A 22,181-nucleotide genomic window follows, 5' to 3' on the forward strand; every position below is an offset into this window, starting at 1 on the left:
GATCTCCTGACCTCATGATCCACCCGCCTTGGCCTTTCAAAGTGCTGGTATTACAGGCATGAGCCACCGCACCCAGCTGAGGTTTTGTAATTTTTTAAAAAAGAACTGCTGGGCCCAGCACTTTGGGAGGCTGAGGTGGGTGGATCACTTGAGCCTAGGAGTTTGAGACCAGCTTGGGCAACTTAAGGAGACCCCATCTCTACCCACCCCAAAGAAAATTAGCCCAGTATAGTGGCATGAGACTGTGGTCCTGGCTACTCAGAAGGCTGAGGTGGGAGTATTGCTTGAGCCCAGGAGGTTGAGGCTGCCGTGAGCCATGATTGCACCACTGCACTCCAGCCTAGGTGACAGAGCAAGACTCCATCTCAAATAAATAAATAAACAACAAAATTAAAAAATACAAAACAACCATTCACAAACATTGAACTTTAGATAATGATACGCATGCTAAAGTGTTTATGGGTCAAGGATACTGAGGTCTGCCACTCACTTAGAAATGCATCAAAAAGTTAGGACGGAAGGATGTTTGGATAGATGGTCGGATAGATAAAGGATAAGCAAATACTACAGTGAAATGTTAACAAATGTATAATCTAGAGATAGGGCATATGCATGGCTGATGTATAATTCTTTCAACTTTTCTGTATGTTTTGAAATTTTTCATAGTAAAATGTTGGGAAAAAGGAGTTAAAAATGTGGTTAGGTGGGAAGAAAAATGAAGAGAGAGTTTTAGGATATATAGGAAACCAAAGGAATATATGAGAAAAGTGAGGCATATTGAGAGGTCTAGGGCACAGTTTCCAAATCTGCCTGTTCCCCAAAATATCCTGGAGAGCCTTTAAAAAATATGGATACCTCAGTTCTACTCATAGAAGTCCCGATTAAGTAGATCTGGGATGAAGCTGGGAATCATTTTTAAAAGCTCACTAGTTGATGATCATCCCTATTGGTCGTTGGTCTAACAGGCCACACGACCTTGTTGCTTTTCTCTACAAGGAGTATCATGAAAGATACTATGTACAAGCAAAAACAATCGATATTTTCATTTTTAATAATCTCTCTTCCCCAGGCTAAACTTACACTTTAAGGACAGTGCAACACTGAGCAATTAGTAGCAACAAATTTCAGCTCATTGTCACTCCAAGTGTGACAGAGTTGGGCTGTCAAAATCTAGCCCTCCTCATTCACTCACTCAAAGGAGTAGTGGTGATGCCACTGTCAGTTAGGACTACTGGGTGATGCTGAAGAGACTGTCAGATGGTAGATGAGATGGGTCCCAGCGTGTCAGACCTTGATCCTGCAGAGAGCTGGCATGTGAGAGAGGTCAGGCTGTCTCCTCACTGCCCCAATACTGCGTCAAGCTAACTCCCACCACTGTGTAGTTTTCCCCAGGCTGGGGTCCCACTCCACTCCTCCCCACCTATCCCAAACCTTCACACTCTTCAAGGGCTCCCTTTTCATTAAGAATCCCCCAACTCCCACTGGGCAGAACGCCTATTGCATTGATAACCAGCACAATTCCTAGTCTGAATAATTCCTTTAAAAAAAACATAGAAATTGGCCAGGCACAGTGGCTCACACCTGTAATTCCAGCACTTTGGGAAGCTGAGGCGGACGGATAGCTTAAGGCCAGGAGTTCGAGACCAGCCTGGCCAACATGGTGAAACCCCGTCTCTACTAAAAATACAAAAAAATTAGCCAGGTGTGGTGGCACGCACCTGTAATCTCAGCTACTTGGGAGGCTGAGACATGAGAACTGCTTGAACCCGAGAGGTGGAGGTTGCAGTGAACCGAGATTGTGCCACTGCACTCCAGCCTAGGCAACAGAGTGAGACTCTGTCTCAAAAAAACAAAAACACTAATTGTTATTCTTTCACATTCATACTTCCTGTTCCTGCGCAAGGTGTGGGAGGTGTGGTGAACATTTGTGATTCATTTTGGCTGCCCTGCATCTGAACCCCTTCCTATGTTTGTGAAATTCCTTGCCTCATGCATGGGTGCCCACATCCCACTAAAAACCAGAAACTTCCAGATACTCTATTTCCAGCTTCCCTTGCAGCTAGGATGTGGGCATATGGCTCGGGACTCTGGCCCCAAACTTAGAGTTGACAACTAATGATGAAAAGAAACAGGGTTTGTAGAGAATCTGTTCAAGTTTCAGCTGCAGCCAGAGCAGAGGCTCAGGCTGTGGTGTGCAGAGTCCAATGCCAGGATGCGGGTGGTGCAAACCCTGGAGTCCTGGATCTTGCTGTGATGACAATGGGGTTATTCCTTATTCCTGTACTTATTATTCCTGTGGAGTTACCCAGTGGTGCTTCCTGCTTACAGCCTCTCATGGTTTCTGCCTTTTTCTGAGCCTAGCTCCTCAGCCTTTCAGTTACACGTTTACTACTAAATTTATTTTAATTTCAAGTCAGCTAAAGTTGCTTGCAACTGAGTACTCTATGTCAAGTAGATTTCAACTATAGAAGTATGGAAGATACTGAAAAATTGAATATTTAGGATTCAAAGTAAGGCTCAGAATCTGAGCCTTTGAGGCCAGGGGCTGTTGTGCATACCTTTTGTATCCCAGCAGAGAGGCTGGCCTGTAGTGAATGCTTGGTAAATGCTTGTTGATTGATTGATTTTCACGAGCATGAATGAGCATGATCCTCATGGCCCAGTCATTCCCACTTCTTCCCATGCTTGTGTTATGTGCATTTCCCAGATACAGCAAGAGTCCCTTCATTTTTGGTTGTTAGTGCATTGTCTGAGGGCTATTTCAGCCTTTTCTGATTTCCTTTTGGACTTTGACTTATGAGAAAATTATATCCAGAGGATTTAAGTTTTCTCCAGGACACATTCAAATACCTGCTCTTCTTTTAAACTGAGTGATCCCAGGCCCCAGTCAGACCCTGCAAGAGGCTCAAAAATCTAGGAGTCCAGAGGACAAAGGTCAGCTCATTTCCAGCAAGTTCCTTGGTTAGGCATGCCCCCCTCACCTTGAGTAGGTGAGAAAGGCCATCCCAGTCACTGATTCCCACACCATTCCACTGGAAACTGGGAGGACTTTAGGGGCAGCTGTAGACAGAAGCCACACATGATGCCTCCAAGCAGGCCAACAGGGCATTGCCAAATAGGCTGTTTGTTGAGTAAGACTTGGCCATGACCTTTGCCATGGGATAGCCTCTCCCCGTGACATTTATGAGGACCAGATCCCCTCTGGGAGTTTACCAGCCACACCGGAAGCATACCAAGGGCAGCTGACATAACTCTAATTCTAGAGAACAAAAGCCAAAATTGCCCACAGAAGTTCTGTCTGGCCATGTCATTGTTAAAGGCCCTCAAGGTTAACTCCATTCGCTTGCCAGTGTTGGCTCTTTCTTAGCAAAAACTCATCTGTGCTGACGTCTGCCTTTCCTGAGTCATGCCAAGGGTGTCTCTGCCCAGCCGAGAATCTATGAACAATGAGCATGAATGAAACAGCTTCTTCTGCCTCCAGAAACCACTGGAGGAGCCATGCCATGTGGCTGGGTGATAACTAAAGTGTCTGTCTCCTCTTCTTTTTCTTTTTGTTGATACAGCCTGGACCCACGCCTTCATCAATCTACTGTCAGGGATAGATTGTGCATTTTCTGTGTCCCAGTGGGTGCCCCCCCCCCAAAATAGAGCAGACAAAGCCTGGCCTGCGAGGGTACTGGTTTAGTTCAACAAATATCCATAGAATGCCCACTTAGGCAAAATGGCATAGGGCAGATTGCCAAAATCAGGGTTGACTCGGCCTGGAGCCATGAAGTGGGTCCAACAGGTCTCTGAACTGAGGCAGGAGGCCCCAGGATCCCGAGGTGTGCTGTAAAGCCTTTGATGACAGCATCTTGTGCCTAACACCTGACCACATCTGAGCCACTAGAGACAGTACCTGATAAGGATGCAGATGCCTGGGCCCTACCTTCCAAAGTTCTGGCTCAGTAGGTCTGGGGGAAGACCAGTAATCTTCATTTTAACAAAGACCACTGACGGTTCTGATGCAGGTGGTCCAAGGACCACACCTGGAGAAACTTCCACCTCTAGGAGCATCTGGGGTAAAAACTTCACCCAAACTTCCTAAGGTCACAACATATCCCCCCCAACAGAGGAAGCAGTAACTTTTGGCCACAGCCCCTAGAGAGGGGATTTGCCTGGCGTTTCTATACTGTCCTCTGTCCAAGGACAAAGTGTGCCTTACCCCACAACTGCTTTGTGGTTAAAAGCTTCTATTGAGGGATAGTTTATTTACTTCTAGCACTATGAAGCAATATAGTGAGGTTTTTGTTTCCTTTGAATCCCAGTCATTTTATGCTGCAGAAAATCTAGAGTTTTTGCCACAGTGGAGGACTCTGCTTAAGGACTACCTATCTGGGTCTGGTAATAGCTACCCCAACCCAACGGTCCTGAACGAGTAATATGGTTCGACTGTTTCCCTCCCCACCTCCAAATCTCATCTTGAATTGTAGTTCCCATAATCCCCACGTGTTGTGGGAGGGACCTGGTGGGAGGTAATTGAATCATGGGGGCGGTTAGCCTCATGTTGTTCTCCTGATAGTGAGTTCTCACAAGATCTGATGGTTTTATAAGGGGTTTTTCCTCCTTTTGCTTGGCACTTCTTGCTGCCACCATGTGAAGAAGGACATATTTGCTTCCCCTTATGCCATGACTGTAAGTTTCCTGAGGCCTCCTGAGCCATGTGGAACTGTGAGTCAATTAAACCTCTTTCCTTTAGAGATTACCCAGTCTCAGATATGTCTTTATTAGCAGAGTGAGAATGGGCTAATACAATGAGATAGAACTTAAATCCCCTGCATGCTCATCAGAGGAGGCTCCATAGAAGATCATGGACCTTGAACAAGGTGCAAGTAAGCCTAGATGCAATGCAATGGATTAGGGATTCCAGGCTTGAAAACCAGTGGGAAGGAAGGGGTCAGGTGGGAGTGGTCCTCAGTTCCTGTGTGGGCTCTGGCATCAGGCAGCACACAGGAGTCTTCCCTGCTGGTGGGGAGAGAAAGAGGCAGTAGAAGGGGTCCCGAGCTGGAAGGATCAGCAGCCACTGCAGACTACTGATGGAGGCAGTGCCAGGGAGGAAGAGGGTCGTGCCTAGTGGTGTCCAGGCATTGGCATGCAGGAGGCAGTCCAGGCACTGGTACCCGGGAGAGTTAAAACTGGGGGAAGGGAAGACAGCAGGGGATTCTCACAAGGAATGTGGAGCAGAGGCCCAGGCAGGGGGCCATCAAGGTGGAGAGGACTGAACCTGGAAATGGAAGCTTTCCAAGTCACACATTGAAGAGTATCAGCAAGGTCTTAAGCCCTGGAACAGTGAGGGATGGCATCAGGACAAACTGAGGTCAGTGAGTGTGTTGGCAGCGGACCAGGCTCCGAACGGCACAAACTCCGTCTGGGATGGGGAATCTAGCAGAAGACCTAGGAAGAATTTGAAGAGGGTTCAGAGGTGAATTAGGGATGCTTGTAGCTTTTGTGTGGGCAGTGCGTTACTGGGGTGTAGTCCTCATTGAAGGCCCAAGATTCTGCCTCTAAGGGTGTAACTCTGCTGAATCCAGCACCTGAGAGGCTGTCCAGAGCAGGCAGGAGGTCAGCTGTCAGGCTGTGGGCCCAGTTTTAGAGTCAAATTGAATTTCCAGTGGGGAAGACCAAAGCTGAAGTCCATCCCCCAGAGGATGAGAGAAAGGAAGGCTGCAGCTCAGGCAGCTCAGGGAGTCTGAGGCAGCAAACGAGCTCTGGACCTTGAAGTGGGGAGAGGAAGTCCTTTCACCTCATCACAGTGCTCACATCACCTCAGAAACCAGGTGGGACACACAGCTGTGACAGGTGAGAGATGATTCCATTGGTGCCTGGGATACCAGATTCATGCTGGGAAGTAGGATGGATGTGGTGGTTTGCAAAAGGCTTTGTCTGCTAAATTGAGGATACTGGATCATACCCCAAGAGAAAGGGGAGCTCCAATGGAAAAGCCACCTGCATCATGATGCTGCCTGTCACTTGACTGAGCGTTCCTGCTGCCCAGAAGCTCCTGTTGTCCTCCCAACTGACGGGATGCTCTTGGACAGTGATGCCAGCTGGAATTAAGACTGGGTTTCCAAGGCCACTGTGACCACCATGATTAATGTGAGTATCGCCAGGTCTTCTCCACACAGGCCCCCTCAGCATGGTTGTCCCCAAAGCCCTGACCCCAGCTTTTCCTGGTTTTCTGCTTCCTTTAGCAATCCCTACTGCTAGGGCTCCAACATGCCTCAGCCAGAAAGCTGTCATCTCTTTCCTGGGAACATTCCTTAAGAAAGAACCATCATGGGGTTGGATGAAACTAAACTTGCAAAGAAGGTGATGTGTAACCAAGTTGGAGTGTGGAGTGTGGGGTCAAAGATGATGGCATTCTGTGTGGATCCGCAGTGGTAGGAATGGAGGTGAGGAGGAAGAAATGAATCCAGGAGGCAGCGTGACAGAAAACACAGACTTTGGTGACGACATGTGAGAAGCTGTAAACTGATAAGAAGAAAAGACGTCTCCAGCACGTTTGGGTTAGTGTCATCAACCCATGGATCCTGCCCACAGCAAGACTTGGCCCAGTCACAACCCCCTTTCTAGCAATGTGGAGATAAATGTCTTCAACAGAAAGGGTTGGGAATCCCATGTGACAGCCGAGCTCTGTTCTGCCTTTGACAGAGTCTGATGCGAAGTGGATCATCTCAGGGATGTGCCTTGCTGGCTTCACCCACCTGGAGCCTCAGGGGAAGTCTCAGGTGGGAGATGTTAATTTGAGAGGCCTGGGTATAAAAGTAATCCCAAGATGTCACAAGATAGAATACTTTCTCTGAGGCACAAACAGGGAGAAAAACAAGAACAGAACCCCTTAGCAGGACACTCATAATAAGAAGAATTAGGAAAAGAAAAGGGAACCCGGGGTGACACAAAACTGGGGGAGTCTGTTACCACAAGGTAGATGGCTACCTCCAGTTGGACAAATTTCCATGGACCACCATGCAATTTCTGGAGATGCCGCCTTTGATCCCCTCTTCTCCCTTTGCTCCTCCCTCATCTCCACACTCAAAGTGCACATTATTCAGATGTCCAGCACGCCCCTAAATCAACTTGACTTCTCTTGTTCCTTGGCAGATTCAAGGACCAGCCTTCATTGGATTTGGGGTGGAAGCTACATGCTTGTGTCAAGGGTTGTAATCCCAAGTCTGGTCCTGTTTTCTGCAAACAATATCATTGTAAACACATTGAATGTGTCTGAATGGGATTCACATAACCTATTCAAAGGTTAATATCACAAGACTGATACTGAGCTGGAAGCTCTGAAATGTACTTGTGCTCAGGGAAGATATTTGCTAATGTTTGGCTTTAATTTCCCCTGGAACTTGTACACATCAGTGAGGCCTGGGGATAATGAATAACAGCATGGACAATAAATTTTAAAACAAACAAAATAAAAACTCAAAGAACATTAATGCAGACCAGTGCTGGGATATGATGTGTGTTACAAGAGAGTAATGATTACTCTTGGTGAGCAGATTCTATTATCTGCTTCTTAGGAGCAATAGGTGGCTGCCTCTTGATTGTATTAGTCCTGGAGTTATAAAATCCTCAGTCCTTTACAATGCAAAAGTGACACATGGGGCGAGTAAGCAGGTAAGAGAAGGAGCAATTGGAGGAAGAGAAATGAGATCTGTGGCAGGGGCTATTGGCTTTCCACTAAAACCCATTCTCTACTTCTTGCTGGGCAAGAACTAGGCAGTATTTACCAGCCCCTCTTGCATTTGGGGTGGCCACAAACGAATTCTGGCCAGTGGAGTGAGGGGCTTCTCAGACAGCAGCCTGCCCCTTCCACACTCCTGTTCCCCTTGCAGTGGCTCAAAGCCCTTGGGTGATGATGGAGCCATAGCTGGAAGAAGCCTGGGTCCCTGGGTCCCCCGTGGAGCCTCCACGCGGGAAGGTGGTCTAGAAATACACTTCCATATTTCAGCCAGCATGCCTTGGGATCTTTTTTTAATGGTGGTTCAGCCTACCCTAACTAAAGCTGGGCCCACTCAGCACGCCCCACACAGGGATTCTGAAATGGGAGCAGGGTCCACCAAAACTCTGCTTTTCAGAGAGCTCACACCCTAGGGGAGTATAAAAGTGACGAGGACACTGGAGCTGGCAGGCAAGACCCAGGATGCCAAAATTAGGGCCCCTAAACACAGCAGGGAGGGTGAGCTATCCTCTTGTGAGGTGGGAGGAGGGTCTCCGTGAGCAGGGCTCTTCTTGGGCCAAACCTGGATCATGAGGAGGAGGGAGAGATGCTGAATATGACATGTCATTCAAAGTGCTGTCTGGAAATTTGAGTTCGTTTCTTCAGTAGAGGCAGCACAGGTTAATCAGACAAACCAGCCATCAACAGGCTTCCTTTGAGGAGCTTGGTAAGAATGGAAAACCCAGGGCTGAGGGGCTTACAGAGCTTACAGAGCAGCACAGTATCAGGGGCCCAAGGCACCAGGAGCTCCTCTGGAAATTGGCGGGAACAGCTGGAGCAAAGCCGAGGTGATGGTACCCCTGGTGGCGGGACGGCAGCGACCCTCCATGGTATAAGGAGTGGTGAGACCCCAAGGGACAGTGTGCAAGGACTCTGATGGCAGCAACACTCCTCTAGGAGCTGATGAGAAAGGCCTGGAATCCCAAGATGCACCCCTGAGGTTCAACTCCTACCCTGATCATCTCCTCCAAGATTCTGTGACCTGGGGAAGTCAACAGTACATTTCAACACCTATGATGTCAGCATGTGAATGACATTCCAATGCTGCTCATGGGGTCACCCCTGCAAAGGTGAACTCAGTGGAAAGACCTTGCCAAACCGGAAGGAAAACAGGATACTTTTCTCCAAAATACTCATTCAATAAATATTTGCTTAGGCATTACAAAGACAAATAAGACTTGCCCCTACCTGTTAGAGGTATGTATGTCGAGAAAAGGAAGGAGTGATTCAATAAGAGAAACAGCATTCAGGGAAGAGAAAGAAGGAAGACATAAAAATTCAGGTCATATTAGAATAATATATATAACAATGAGTTTGGCTATATTTCAGAATTTTCCCAAAATATTTCTTTCAAATTTGATTGACATTCTAAACTATTTAGCTTGATATAAATGAGATCTTTGTGTACCCTCAGCAGGAACTGCATTTTAGCTGGTTTTAAATCTCAACAATCACTTTCCTGCCTTGGAGAAGGTATGAACCAGGCTGTTTATGTAGAATCCAGGTGGGTTTGAGAGCAGCTTCAGCTGAATGGAGAGTGACAGGGAGGCTGAGGAAGGGAGGGAGGGGACCCATGGGCTGTCATACCCGGGGACTTAGGAAGGCTCTTGCTCTTGCTGGAAGGGTTGCAAATCCCTAAACCAAGTAATCCCATCCCTAAACCAAGTAATCCCATTAAAACATGAAACATCCAGAGTAAAATTAAGTTTAGAATACTATTTGCAAAGCCAAACATAGTCTTACCATAGGATCCAGGCATCACACTCCTTGGTATTTACCCAAATGGGTTGGAAACTTCCATATAAAAATCTGCACACAGGCCGGGTACGGTGGCTCACGCCTGTAATCTCAGCACTTTGGGAGGCTGAGGCGGATGGATCACCTGAGGTCGGGAGTTCAAGACCAGCCTGACCAACATGGAGAAACCCTATCTCTGCTAAAAATACAAAATTAGCCAGGCGTGGTGGCACATGCCTGTAATACCAGCTACTCAAGGGGCTGATGCAGGAGAATTGCTTGAACCCAGGAGGCAGAGGTTGCGGTGAGCCGAGATTGTGCCATTGCACTCCAGCCTGGGCAACAAGAGTGAAACTCTGTCTCATAAAATAAATAAATAAATAAATATAAACCTACACACAGGCCAGGCAGGGTGGCTCACCCTGTAATCTCAGCACTTTGGGAGGCCGAGGCGGGTGGGGTGGATCACGAGGTCAGGAGATCAAGACCAACTTGGCCAAGACGGTGAAACCTCATCTCTACTAATAATACAAAAATTAGCTGGGCATGGTGGCACATGCCTGTAATCCCAGCTACTCAGGAGGCTGAGACAGGAGAACCGCTTGAACCAGGGAGTCGGAAGTTGTGGTGAGCCGAGATCACACCACTGCACTCCAGCCTGGTGACAGAGTGAGACTCTGTCTAAAAAAAAAACCTGCACACAAATATTCATGGTAGCTTTATTCATACTTGCCAAAACCTGGAAGCAACCAAGATGTCCTTCAATAGGTGAATGGGTAAATAAACTGTGGTACATCCAGACAATGCAATATTATTTGGTGATTAAAAAAAAAGAAATGAGTTAAAATCTTGGATTTCTTTTTTTTAAATGAGTTATAAAGCCACAGAAAGACCTTAAATACATATTGTTAAGTGAAAGAAGCCAGCCTGCAAAGCTACATCTATACATGACTGTATGACATTCTAGAAAAGGCAAAACTATAGAGACAGTGAAAACATCAGGGATTGCCAGGGGTTAAGAGGGAAGGAAGGATGAAAAGGCAGAGGACAGAGGATTTTAAGGCCGGTGAAACAATTCTATATCATACCAGAATGGTGGATATATGGGCTGGGGCTCAGAAAACAATACCCCCAAATGAATGCCTCAGAAGCAAAAGTTTCTCCTGCCCTCCCATCCCTGACCTCATTCTCCCCCAAGGTTAGCCATAGAAACCAGAAGTCCTCTTTCCCAAGGTGGGTCATAGAAACTTCCAAACCCCTTTTCCCCAAAGCCAGTCATAAAACCTAAAAATATGACTCTAACTTCCACCCCCACCCCACCACCTTTCTGTGTAAAAATGTGTCATAAGGAAATCATCTAACCTGCCTTGTTTGGTTGTCGGTCGTAAGACCCCCATTCGAGAGAGGGCCCTGCCCCGTACCCAGCAGGAAGCAATGCTGCCCAGAGAGGCCACGAGGAATCTAGACAGGGCTTGCTGGGGGGCCCCACTCACTCTATGAGCATTAGCTCATTCCCTTTTTTGTCCAATCACATTTCTAAATATTTTGTTGCACCTAAGCTTAAAAGTGGGCAGAGTCCCCTGCATCTCTGGGTCTTCGTTCTGAAGGCTCCCCTGTCATGTAACACTATGACCAAATAGATGTGTGTGCCTTTTCTCCTATTCATCTGCCTTTTGTCTGTTAATTTTCAGTGAAACTTCAGAGGGTGAAGGGGAAGTTTTCCTTGGCCCCTACACGTGTCATTACAAACCCATAGAATGTACAATGCCAAGAGTGGACCTTAGTGCAAGCCAGGGACATTAGTCAGTAATAATGTTCCACGCTGACGCACAAATGAAAGTTATTTTATTTGTGTGAACAGGAGAGCTGACATGGTCTGTATTGATATCTCCTGGGCAGGGAGGTGGTGAGCACGGCCCCAGAATTCTGAACTGCCAGGAGCCAGGCAGCTTTGCATCCTGGAGCTTGGCCAATTCAGCCGCCCAAGTTCTGGCCATGGGTCTGCAGCCCCCTGGCCCTTGCCTGCATAAGCAGGAGATGAATGAGAGGAAGCAGAACTCACACAGGAGGCAGGAGGAAGCCACCAGGAAGCTCACTGGCTCCAGGGGCAGCAGATCTGGGATGGGGTCCCAGTTCTCTCCTTCCTCATTCATGAAATGGGGCAATAACAGTACTTACTTCATTGGAGGTTCTTGGAGGGAATAAAAGAGATATTAGTTAAAGGCATGGAGCACAGTCCCTGGCACACTGAAAAAGTTTCATAAATGTTACCAATTAATTGTTTGTATTATATAATGTCTTCCTGATAGGTTTTTGGGAAGGAATAAATCAAAGGTGAGAAAATATATACAAAAACCTGACTGAGCGAGAACATAGCTTACACACAAGAAGTGGCAGCTTGGTGAGCACACTGCTATGTCATGTTGTGCCTAGTCATGACATAGCCAAGGACTGATACAGGCGCTCCCATAACCCATGGATGGATTCCTGCTGGACTCTATTCATGAAGGTTCTGATTCTAATTTTTTTAAATCCATGGATAAAACAGCTACCAGAAAATCCCATTTGGGTTTGCATGTTGTTCTTTGGCTTCGGTGGACAGCAATCATATCAGTTGCATTTCCCGAGCTAGAGCTCTGAGGCTTAGTCATCCCCCTCCCTGGCTGGCTTCCATGCTGTCTGCAGTGGGAGCATCTTTTATGAGATGACAGGAGGGGACTTCATGGATGTGCAGCCTGGGCTGCTGGTACTGCCGGGGCTGCTGGTACTGCTGGGACTGCAGGAGAGGGATGGTTTCTATTAATCCTCACAATGGGAGGGTCCAGTGGGCTGTCACAGCACAGGCAGGGAATCACAGGCCTCCCTGGGTGACCAGCTGTCCTGGCTGCTACCAGATTCGGACTCCAGCAGGCTTTCCCTGGGGGCAGAGATGACCTTGATCTCTGGGCAGCTAGGCTTCATGTCCTTGATATTTGTGGCCCTGCATTGTTGGGGCACAGGATGCAGAGCTGGGGATGACTGAGCTTAAACTCCTGCTGCTATGGAGGGCTGCCTCCTTGCCCTGAATGCCCTGGGAGCCCTTTTAAAAACACAGGTCCAAGGAGTGATAACATGAGGGGCAGCACCTCTGGCCCCTGAGAGAGAAACTTGTCCAGTGATATGTGCACAAGCAACATCTCCAGGCATTCCTTCCAGACAAGGCAAGAGGCCCCCCAGGTGTGATATGTTAGCTACACATGGGCTTGGTCTGTACTGCAAATGTGTACTCAGTGATGGGGCCATTAGATATTTGGTTTCTACATTGCTGCGATGAAAATTTACAAAGAACGTTCATGGGGAAACCAGCTCCCATCCATGGGCAGCAGAGGAATGTTGTCCAAGACTTACATGGACAGGTAAGACTAAGGTCTCATCCCATACTCAGCAGTTCTGTGACCTTTTACAGAACATAGGGAGGCAAGAAGGGAAATGAGCCTTAGTTAGCCTCAGGGAGAACCAAGCCAGGTCTGTTTAGGGTCACCACCTTCACTGAACTGCCCTCCACTGGAGGCTAGGAACTGCAGGACATGAGTTCAACATCAAAATAGTAAAAATAGTGGCAAATGTTTAGCAGTGTTTGCAACATATCAGGTGTCACAGCAACCTCTGCAGGAGAGGTGAGCAGGGCTAATATTTAGCAGGTGCACCCTTGTACTGGCTGCCTGCCATTTAATAGGTTAGTGCCTCAGCTGGTTATTGAATATTTTCAACATCGGCCCTGGGTACTAAGATTAGTTCCCATTTTACTGATTAGGAAATCGAGGTTAAGAGAGGGTAGGCGATTTGCCTGAGATCACACAGCCTCGTGTGTGGCAGAGCCTTAGATTCCAAGCCAGGCTGTCCGATGCCAGACCTTCACAGCTATCCTATGCTTCCACGGCACCCCGGACTTCCCCTTGGAGCACTTGCCAGTGAAACAAACATGCCCTGGAGAAATGCCTGGGTGAGTGTGCCTTCTTCCTTGCACAGAGACGGGCCTCTTGCACCCTCTACTTTCCTACTGTGGCTGGGGTGAGGTGGCGGGTAGAAGGGCGTGGGTTGTAGCTCACTGTCTTCTTCAGGAGTCCCACAGTGGGTAGGAGCACCAGCTGTTCAACAAGAGAAGACCATTAGGCTTCAGGAGGGAGAGGAAGTTTTTTTGGGAATGAGAGGACCAAGAGAAATGAGGCACAGGGGAGATCGGCCCCAAGGCTTGTCCTGAAAAAAGAACATCATCTTCTTCTAAGGTCCCGAGCGTGGGATTTATCTGACACATTCTTCCACATGCTTATTGCAGGAGGAGCGTTGTGTTAAGTGCTTTGCATGCATTAATTATCTCATTTAAACCAAAACCAACCCAGTGTGGCTGAGTGACTATATGATGTCCATTTTACAGATGAGGAAAGGGAGGCTGAGAGAGCTTAAAGGACACACCACTTTTGAGTGGCAGAGCTAGGATGCAAACCAGACCTGACTGCTGTTAAAGCTTGTGATGTTTGTAGTCATTCTTCTATACTGTACCCTCATAGGAAGTTCAAAAACAGAGAGGGTGGGATTTGGTCTTTGGCTTTTGTTTAAATGTATGTTTTTATAGATATATTTCCTTAGCCCATGCTATGAACCAGGAGTTTCCATTTGTTTATTTAACTGATTTATTAAGCCTTTTTAGGGGCCAGCCCAGGTTCTGGGCACAAGCTGGAGAAGGAGAGCTGCTGCGGTCCCTAACTCATGCCTCTTGCGGCAGTGGGTGGGTGTGAAGAGGGAGGAGGGGAGGAGGTGGTGAGAAGTCTGCTTCACATTATTCAGAGTTTCCTGTGAGCCAGGCACTGTGCCTGGGGCTAAGTGATTATATCATTTAGCCCTCCCAATAGACTCTCAGGTAGACGCTCTCTTATTTCCACTTTTTCCCATTTACAGATGGGGAAATGAAGACTTAAGAAACTTAGGTAATCTGCCCAAAGGCTTATAGCCAATACATGGTAAAGCTGAGATGTGAACTCAAGTATCTGACTCCAAAGCCTGGGTTTTTTCTCTTTCTCTCTCTCTTTTTTTTTTTTTTTTGAGACAGGGTCTCACTCCTTCACCCAGTCTGGAGTGCAGTGACATGGTCATAACTCACTGTAACCTCAAACTCCTGGGCTCAAGTGATCCTCCTTTCTCAGCCTCCTGAGTAGCTGGGACTACAGGCACACACTTTTATGCCTGGATAATTTTTGTACTTTTTTTGTAGACAGGGTCTTACTGTGTTGCCCAGGCTGGTCTGGAACTCCTAGGCTAAAATGATCCTCCTGCCTCAGCCTCCCAAATTGCTGGGATTACAGGTGTGAGCCACTGTGCCCGGTCAAAGCCTGTGCTTTGATTTGCCACCTAATCCTCCTCCGTTTTATATGTAATGTTAACCCCAAACCTGCAGGGTAGCCGTTATCAGCCTCATTTAACTGACAGGGAAGCCCAGTCTCAGAGGGGCCAGATGCGTGCCCAAGGCCTTGCTGGGAAGAATGGGATTCTGGGCCCAGGCATTCCAGCGCCAAGTCCAGGGCGTGATTGTTACTCTGCAGTCCCTCTCTGTGACAAGAGCCTCACCGGGAACTCGGGGGTGGGGGCTCCCCCAAGCCTCCTGGCTGGACCCCATTCCAAGCGTTAGTGTAACAGATGTTGTGTGGCGGGAGTCTGTTGTGCTCCTGGTGTGTGGCTGGGATTCAGAGGTGTCTTCAAGCGCTCTAGGAAGCCGGCGGGCGGGGCCATGGCCGCAGAAGTGAGTGCAGGGATGGAGAATACAGGGAGTCCCTTGACCGGAGGAGACTTTGGAGGCATTTGTGCTGTTCGCGTGAACTCCGCGTCCATGGCCTACCCTGTGATTGTCATCATTTCTATGTGAGAAAAAAGCGGCTACTGATTCACAGCGAAAGGAAACGGACTAGGTTCTGAAACTTCCTGTTTGTCTGGTATCTGCAAAGATATGTGTGTTATGCAAATACCCTGACTCCCCAGAACTGCAGGTGTGTACAAACACACACACGCACGCACACACACACACACACACACACACACACACACACCCTCTGCTTGGCCCCATGCAGTGGGTCTCCTCTGTACCCAGTAAACTGAAACATGACTCTACTAACATGGTAGCCAGGACACTGGGGACTCTGCTGTCGGAATCCCTGATCATAGAGACAGCAGCTTTGGCCTTCGGCTCAAAGAGCTTCACAGATGTCCCTTGTAGGCGAGTCCTGGCTCTGGCTCCTGGCCCACTGCAGAGCCTGGGAGTGAGGCAGGCAGATAGGCGAGGGGGTCTCACCCAGGCCCAGGAACTCCATTTTCTCTCAGCCCCATTCCTCCCTCCCTCGGCTCCCTGACCGTGCTGAACGCAGCTCCCAAGCAGGGGGAGAGTCCAGATAATGGCAGATGTTGATTGTTTCCTGTTGGTTCACTGTGTCCTTTTGGCAGGCCTTTCTTTCTTTCAAAATATATTCAGGTTTGAGCCTAGCACTGCAGCTTGCTGAGTGGGTCTATGCTTCCATAGAGCAGTGGCTTCGGGCACAGGCCTGAGACCCAGCCTGCCTGCGGGCTGCTAGCTGCCAGCTACCTCTGCACTAGGAAGGTTTTTAAACAGCTGAATGCAAGCTTCAGCGTTAATAGGTGAAAGTGAAAATGACATGTGACTTCTAGACAATTCTCATAGATTCAAAATAATTGTTCTCTGTAATGAGTAAAATAACACTCTTGCAACAGCTGAATGCTTTTCTCATATTCTGAGTTGCCCGAATTAGGGGAAATGGGTCTAAATGGCTGCAAGAGGCAGTTTTGTCAGCTAGACGTCTTTTTACAAGTATATTGCATCCTTCAGTCTCTTCCTGCCCCACCCTAAGACCCTCACCTGGGAAATGGGAGGATGGCTTGGAAGGCAATTGTCAGGCCTCTGAGCCCAAGCTAAGCCATCATATCCCCTGTGACCTGTACATACACATCCAGATGGCCCGGTTCCTGCCTTAACTGATGACATTCCACCACAAAAGAAGTGAAAATGGCCTGTTCCTGCCTTAACTGATGACATTACCTTGTGAAATTCCTTCTCCTGGCTCATCCTGGCTCAAAAGCTCCCCCGCTGAGCACCTTGTGACCCCCACCCCTGCCCGCCAGAAAACAACCCCTTTGACTGTAATTTTCCTTTACCTACCCAAATCCTATAAAACAGCCCCACCCCTATCTCCCTTCGCTGACTCTCTTTTCGGACTCAGCCCGCCTGCACCCAAGTGAAATAAACAGCCTTGTTGCTCACACAAAGCCTGTTTGGTGGTCTCTTCACACGGACGTGCGTGAAAGCGATGAAGCTGAGGTTGCAGGAAAGGAGTGATCACCTGGCTCAGAGCTGGGCCCTAAAAGTCTAGGCCAGAGCCTCCCTGTTGTGAAAGGGAGTGGAAGGAGAAGGGGCTGGGATGGGTCAAACTGGGTGGAAAGCTAGGCTCTGCTGTTTAGAAGCTGTATGATCTTGAGCAAGTTGCTTAACCCTTGCTAAGCCTCAGTTTCCCTTCCTGCAGAAAGGGATTATCATGGGGACGAAAGGGGATCCAGAACCTGGAGTGGAGGATAGGGTGGGTAAGTGGAAGGTGTCATGAGGACAACATATGCTGAGACACTCACCACCCTTTCTGAGGGCGCCTCAGCAGCAGGTCACATGGTGCCTGAAACTCGTTTTTCTGAGTTGTGCTGGTTTGTGGAATGAAAAGGGAAGCCAGGCTTCCTTCTTACTAGCTCTGACTGCCTTGTTTTAAGGATCATTCACCTTCCCTAAGGATGGGATAAAGCCTTCCTGTAGAGCAGACCGATCTCCTTCTTTATCCCTACAGTTCTCCCACCGTGGCCATGGCCTTGGGGGCTGTTCTGACTCTTACATTTATATATCACTCCTACTTTCCCAGCCAGCAGGATAGAAAACCTGAGAAGGGAATTCTGCCTTATAAACATTTCTTACAGATGGGGCAGACAGGTTGTTTCTTTTTTACCAAGGAAGCTCAGGGCAATTCTGGTTGCAGGAATGTTAAGCACTGATAAAGAAGAGAAGAAAAAATATTCACCCTCCAGGGCCTGGAATTTCCCCATTCCTGAGCCCTGGCTTCCCTGTCTGAGATAGAGACTGTCAGTCAGTCACCTACCAATTCCCAATTTCTCTTTCTGCTTTACTAAAAGTACTTGATTTGGGATGGGGGTGGGGGGTGGCAGGCAGCAATACATCCAAGTAAAAGACTGTACTTCCCAAATCTCTTGAAACTAGGGACAGCCAATGAGGTATAAATGAAAATTATTGGGGCTGGGGTCCCAAAAGCTTCTCTCTCTTTTTTGAGACAGAGTCTCAGTTTGTCATCTAGGCTGGAGTGCAGCAGCAGGATCACAGCTGTAAAATCAAAAGTGTCAAAGACAGGTCTCAATCAATTTAGAAAGTTCATTTTGCCAAAGTTAAGAGCACACCTTTAACCTCAGGTGATCCTGACAGCATGTACCCAAGGTGGTTGGTGCCCAACTTGGTTTTATACATTTTAGGGAGCATAAGGCATCAATCAATATGTGTAAGATGTACATTGGTTTGGTCTGGAAAGGTGGGACAACTGAAAGGTGGGACTTCCAAGTCATAGGTGGATTCAAAGATTTTCTGATTGGCAATTGGTTGAAAGAGTTATTATCGATAGAAAAGAATGTCTGGGTTATGATGAGGGGTTTTGAAGGGAGGAGGGTAGAATGAGGCATGTCTGACTCCCCCTTCCCATCATGGCCTGAACTAGTTTTTCAGGTTAACTTTGGAATGCCCTTGGCTAAGAGGAAGGGTCCATTCAGATGGTTGGCGGGGGGGCCTTAGAATTTTATTGTTGGTTTACGTGGCTCAGTGCAGCCTTCACCTCCTGGGCTCAAGTGATCCTTCCATCTCAGCCTCTTGAGTAGCTGTGGCCACAGGTGCATGCCACCATGCCTGGCTAACTTTTTTTTTTGGTAGATATGGGGTCTTGCCATGTTGCCCAGGCTGGTTTTGAATTCCTAAGCTCAAGTTATCCTCCTGTTACAGGAAAGGGGTCCTGATCCAGATCCCAAGAGAGAGTTCTTGGATCTCACACAAGAAAGAATTCGAGGTGAATCCATAGAGTAAAGTGAAAGCAAGTTTATTAGGAAAGTAAAGAAATAAAAGAATGGCTACTCCATAGGCACAGCAGCTTCCAGGGCTGCTGGCTGCCCATTTTTATGGTTATTTCTTGATTATATGCTAATTATTTAGTGTTTGCAAAAATAGCCAGGCTATAAGGGGTGGATTATTCATGAGTTTTGTGGAAAAGGGGTGGGCAATTCCCAGAGCTGAGGGTTCCTCCCATTTTTAGACCATATAGGGTAACTGCCAGATCTTACCATGGCATCTGTAAACTGCCATGGTGCTGATGAGAGTGTCTTTTAGCATGCTAAGGCATTATAATTAGCATATAATGAGCAGTGAGGACAATCAGAGATCACTCTTATCACTATCTTGCTTTTGGGGGGTTTTAACCAGCTTCTTTACAGCAGCCTGTTTTATCAGCAAGGTCTTTGTGACCTGTTTCTTGTGCTGACCTCCTATGTCATCCTGTGACTTAGAATGCCTACCCTTCTAGGAATGCAGCCTAGTAGTTCTCAGTCTTATTTTACCCAGCCCCTACTCAAGATGGAGTCCCTCTGGTTCAAATGCCTCTGACACTCCCACCTCAGCCTCCCATAGTGCTGGAATTACAGGCTTGAGCCACTGCACCTGGCCTTAAAAGCTTCTTAAAGGGATCTAAGAAATTGACTCTCCCCACCCTCTTTCTTAACCGTAAAACACTAATGTAATGGCTGGAGTTCTAGCAACCATATTGGGCCATGAGGCAACCTTGAAAAAGGAAGCCACAAACTAAAACATTGACTCTCAACCTTTAATGCTGAAAAAAGAAAAAGTATCCCCTGACATCCGGGAAATGGCCTGACACTTTGAGCTAGGGCTTAATCTTATTAAAAGCTTGCCTGGCTATTTTTGCAAACACTGATGTCAGTCGCCAGTCTGCAACTGTGATGAAGAGGTCAAAAGAGACCCCTTCCTAACTCTGTCTAAGCACAAACAACTCCACAAAACACTAGACACACCCCCTTCTGGCTCATTAAGTGACAGGGGCCTCCTTATCAACTATAACTATAGCCTTGATCTTGTCTTCTGTCCTTATAGATAAGATTTACTAACATACCCAGCTGCAGAATTGTCCCATTTCCAGACAGCAGACAATGCAGAGCAAGCCCTTCCCTCCTAGACCCTCCCCAAATTCACCTAACCAAAGCCCAAAGCCTAAAAGTCCCTTTGAACACCTTTTTAGTGAAATGGTGCCCCCATGATATCTTCCTCATTGCAACCAGTAATAAAGCCAACTTGTTCAAATGCCGGTTTGCAAATAAATCACTTGGGGATTTGTTAAAATGCAGACTGTGGTTCAGTAGGTCTGAAGTAGAGCTTATTCTGTGTTTGCCACAAGCACCCAGTGAGGCACTTGCTGCTGGACCATGGTCCCACTTTGGGTAGCAAGGCAGTTAAGGGTGGCAGATTAGAACACTGGACATGCTTAACCTTGACCATGGGACCACTGTATGCATCCTGTTGTTTCTCAGTGAAAATATGCCTGTATTTCATGTAAGCCCCCGCTATATATGTTGGCTACTAGCAACTTAACCAACACGTTGTCCTTGTCCTTAGAAAATGTGTGGTTACAGCCAGGTGTGAGCAGGCCTAGACCAGGCTTGGGGATTTATTGACCAAATGTGGTGCCTTTGAGGTGAAACCACAAGTAATCAGAGAAGCTGAGTCACTCCACTTAGTGGACTGGTGGAAAATTCTCAAATGGTCTTAAGCTGGCCCCATGTTGGGCTGAGGACTAGAGATCTCAGAGGCTCCACCTGCCCATCCAATTGCAGGTGTCTGGGCCTGGCCCCACCTTGCCTTCCTGCTCCATTGCTCACCATTCCACACCCAAAGGCACCATGATGTTTTGTACCTCCTTGCCTTTGCTCTTCCCTTTGCCAGGGATGCCCTTCCCACCTTCCTCCACGTGGCTAACCCTCCCTCAGCTCTGCTTCCAGGGTGTCTCCCCTGGTCGCCAAGGGCTGGCTAGTGCCTCTTCTTTGCTCCCAGGGCACCCTGTGCCTTTCTGTGCCCCAACTATTTCCCAGTTTGTAGCAGTTATTTATTTTGTGGTCATCTTCCCACTGGTCGTCAGCTCCTAGAGGGCAGGGATCATGTTTTGGGTTATTCATCACTGCATCCCCTGACATAGTCCCCAAACCTCGAGAACTATGAAACTGCACCAAAGGTTCCAGCTCCCCCACAGCCTGCCCTTAACCTTGAGCCATTTGAAGGGAGAGTATGAGACAATAGTGAAAGAAACCCTTCTCTAATGTTTTCCCCATTTAGGTTATGTGAAGTTGGCAGTTCCCAAGGGCTTTAGGCTTGAAGCTGTGGGTCATACCCCTTCGGAAACTTGGTCCCCAAGAGAAATGTATGCTTCTGAAAACCACAGGTGCATGAATCGTGTTTAGTAAATGACTACTAAACTGAAATCAGGACTTGTCTATATCTTGGCTTCTCAAACTTGAATATGCTTATCATCTGGATAGCAAAAGCATTCCTACACGTTGAGGCCTGCCAGCGTGGGTGTCACCCAGGAGCCACTCGGAAAGGCTCATCGGAAACCACCCCGGACTGACTGAGGCAGAATCTCTGGGGGCAGGACCCAGGCCTCAGCATAAAAACTCCAGGTGACGGAAGAGCTCCCACCTAACAGGTGTGTTGGCATTGTTGTAGGTGACTGACGTAGTTTCCCATCTCACAACTCTACCTCCATGAAGAAAAGTCATGGAAAATTGAGACTTTGGGCTGAGTGTGGCTCATCCCTGTAATCTTAGTGCTTTGGGAGGCTGAGGTAGGAGGATCGCTTGAGGCCAGGAATTTGAGGCCAGCCTGAGCAACATAGTGTCTCTTCAAAAAACTAAGTTTATTCTTTCCTCTTTTTTAGTTTTTATTTTACACGGCTCACTGTGGCTTTGACCTCCCATGCTGAAGCGATCCTCCTATCTCAACCTCTCAAGTAGCTGGAAGCACAGGCATGCACCACCACACCTGGCTAATTTTTTTCTTCCTTTTTTAAAGAGACAGTCTTGCCATGTTGCCCAGGCCCTGTTGACCAGGAAAAAAAAAAGTTTTTTTTCTTTTTTAAAGAAAGAAAATAAAAGAGACTGAGAAACCACAGAAATAAAGAAGCGCTGATGACAATGCCTGCTTGCTGATGGTTACGATGATCATAGCAGTGTGCATTTTGTATGCATGAAGCCTGCGACTAAATAAACGTGTGGGGAAATATTTGTAAGGAAATAAGCTATTAATAAAATAAGCTAAAATCACAGTTGCTGGACTATGACTGATTTTTCCCCTTTCTCTCATTTAAAATTAAATATTTGTATGACTTGTATAATAGAAAAATACATGTATTCAATCTTAAAAAGATATTCTTATTTTACACTTTACGGGACAAAAGAGGTTGTAGGTTGGAATGGTTCAGTCCCCTTGTGACAACTCAAAAACAGAGACCTTAAGCCTTTCTCAACCAATGTTGCGGGACAAGCAGGCGTG

General features: G+C 47.4%; 1 long non-coding RNA gene across 2 annotated transcripts, besides 15 other annotated features; it reads left to right on the forward strand.

Annotated features, from left to right (window-relative positions):
* Window positions 1–367: 367 nt before the first annotated feature.
* Window positions 368–21,954, forward strand: LOC124901992 (uncharacterized). 2 transcript variants are annotated; one of them, XR_007061031.1, is made up of 2 exons: window positions 368–13,481; window positions 20,967–21,954. It is a non-coding gene; the product is annotated as an uncharacterized LOC124901992 (long non-coding RNA). The 2 variants fall into 2 exon arrangements; XR_007061032.1 differs by having other exon boundaries at window positions 21,568–21,954.
* Window positions 8,364–9,563: an enhancer, noted in NCBI's record as "BRD4-independent group 4 enhancer chr8:101499786-101500985 (GRCh37/hg19 assembly coordinates)". NCBI's record gives its function as "activates an origin of replication core promoter dependent on BRD2, P300/CBP, MED14 and CDK7 cofactors, and independent of BRD4, by STARR-seq in HCT116 cells {active_cell/tissue: HCT116}" and the evidence as "EXISTENCE:reporter gene assay evidence [ECO:0000049][PMID:35650434]".
* Window positions 11,919–12,864: an enhancer, noted in NCBI's record as "H3K27ac-H3K4me1 hESC enhancer chr8:101503341-101504286 (GRCh37/hg19 assembly coordinates)". NCBI's record gives its function as "activates a minimal SCP1, AML or CMV promoter by ChIP-STARR-seq in primed H9 embryonic stem cells {active_cell/tissue: H9 hESC(primed)}" and the evidence as "EXISTENCE:reporter gene assay evidence [ECO:0000049][PMID:30033119]".
* Window positions 13,361–13,450: an enhancer, noted in NCBI's record as "active region_27704". NCBI's record gives its function as "activates an Ori minimal core promoter by ATAC-STARR-seq in GM12878 lymphoblastoid cells {active_cell/tissue: GM12878}" and the evidence as "EXISTENCE:reporter gene assay evidence [ECO:0000049][PMID:35858748]".
* Window positions 13,621–13,700: an enhancer, noted in NCBI's record as "active region_27705". NCBI's record gives its function as "activates an Ori minimal core promoter by ATAC-STARR-seq in GM12878 lymphoblastoid cells {active_cell/tissue: GM12878}" and the evidence as "EXISTENCE:reporter gene assay evidence [ECO:0000049][PMID:35858748]".
* Window positions 13,761–13,810: an enhancer, noted in NCBI's record as "active region_27706". NCBI's record gives its function as "activates an Ori minimal core promoter by ATAC-STARR-seq in GM12878 lymphoblastoid cells {active_cell/tissue: GM12878}" and the evidence as "EXISTENCE:reporter gene assay evidence [ECO:0000049][PMID:35858748]".
* Window positions 14,931–14,980: an enhancer, noted in NCBI's record as "active region_27707". NCBI's record gives its function as "activates an Ori minimal core promoter by ATAC-STARR-seq in GM12878 lymphoblastoid cells {active_cell/tissue: GM12878}" and the evidence as "EXISTENCE:reporter gene assay evidence [ECO:0000049][PMID:35858748]".
* Window positions 15,101–15,410: an enhancer, noted in NCBI's record as "active region_27708". NCBI's record gives its function as "activates an Ori minimal core promoter by ATAC-STARR-seq in GM12878 lymphoblastoid cells {active_cell/tissue: GM12878}" and the evidence as "EXISTENCE:reporter gene assay evidence [ECO:0000049][PMID:35858748]".
* Window positions 15,575–16,515: an enhancer, noted in NCBI's record as "NANOG-H3K27ac-H3K4me1 hESC enhancer chr8:101506997-101507937 (GRCh37/hg19 assembly coordinates)". NCBI's record gives its function as "activates a minimal SCP1, AML or CMV promoter by ChIP-STARR-seq in naive H9 embryonic stem cells {active_cell/tissue: H9 hESC(naive)}" and the evidence as "EXISTENCE:reporter gene assay evidence [ECO:0000049][PMID:30033119]".
* Window positions 15,575–17,457: a biological region, named in NCBI's record as "NANOG-H3K27ac-H3K4me1 hESC enhancers GRCh37_chr8:101506997-101507937 and GRCh37_chr8:101507938-101508879".
* Window positions 15,671–16,080: an enhancer, noted in NCBI's record as "active region_27709". NCBI's record gives its function as "activates an Ori minimal core promoter by ATAC-STARR-seq in GM12878 lymphoblastoid cells {active_cell/tissue: GM12878}" and the evidence as "EXISTENCE:reporter gene assay evidence [ECO:0000049][PMID:35858748]".
* Window positions 16,447–16,741: a silencer, noted in NCBI's record as "tiled region #8717; HepG2 Repressive non-DNase unmatched - State 23:Low". NCBI's record gives its function as "represses a minimal TATA promoter and a strong SV40 promoter by Sharpr-MPRA in HepG2 cells {active_cell/tissue: HepG2}" and the evidence as "EXISTENCE:reporter gene assay evidence [ECO:0000049][PMID:27701403]".
* Window positions 16,516–17,457: an enhancer, noted in NCBI's record as "NANOG-H3K27ac-H3K4me1 hESC enhancer chr8:101507938-101508879 (GRCh37/hg19 assembly coordinates)". NCBI's record gives its function as "activates a minimal SCP1, AML or CMV promoter by ChIP-STARR-seq in naive H9 embryonic stem cells {active_cell/tissue: H9 hESC(naive)}" and the evidence as "EXISTENCE:reporter gene assay evidence [ECO:0000049][PMID:30033119]".
* Window positions 17,458–18,398: an enhancer, noted in NCBI's record as "NANOG-H3K27ac hESC enhancer chr8:101508880-101509820 (GRCh37/hg19 assembly coordinates)". NCBI's record gives its function as "activates a minimal SCP1, AML or CMV promoter by ChIP-STARR-seq in naive H9 embryonic stem cells {active_cell/tissue: H9 hESC(naive)}" and the evidence as "EXISTENCE:reporter gene assay evidence [ECO:0000049][PMID:30033119]".
* Window positions 20,165–20,666: an enhancer, noted in NCBI's record as "H3K27ac hESC enhancer chr8:101511587-101512088 (GRCh37/hg19 assembly coordinates)". NCBI's record gives its function as "activates a minimal SCP1, AML or CMV promoter by ChIP-STARR-seq in naive H9 embryonic stem cells {active_cell/tissue: H9 hESC(naive)}" and the evidence as "EXISTENCE:reporter gene assay evidence [ECO:0000049][PMID:30033119]".
* Window positions 20,667–21,166: an enhancer, noted in NCBI's record as "H3K27ac hESC enhancer chr8:101512089-101512588 (GRCh37/hg19 assembly coordinates)". NCBI's record gives its function as "activates a minimal SCP1, AML or CMV promoter by ChIP-STARR-seq in primed H9 embryonic stem cells {active_cell/tissue: H9 hESC(primed)}" and the evidence as "EXISTENCE:reporter gene assay evidence [ECO:0000049][PMID:30033119]".
* Window positions 21,955–22,181: the final 227 nt, after the last annotated feature.

Source organism: Homo sapiens, chromosome 8, assembly GCF_000001405.40.
Source record: "Homo sapiens chromosome 8, GRCh38.p14 Primary Assembly".
NCBI classification, from domain to species: Eukaryota; Metazoa; Chordata; class Mammalia; order Primates; family Hominidae; genus Homo; species Homo sapiens.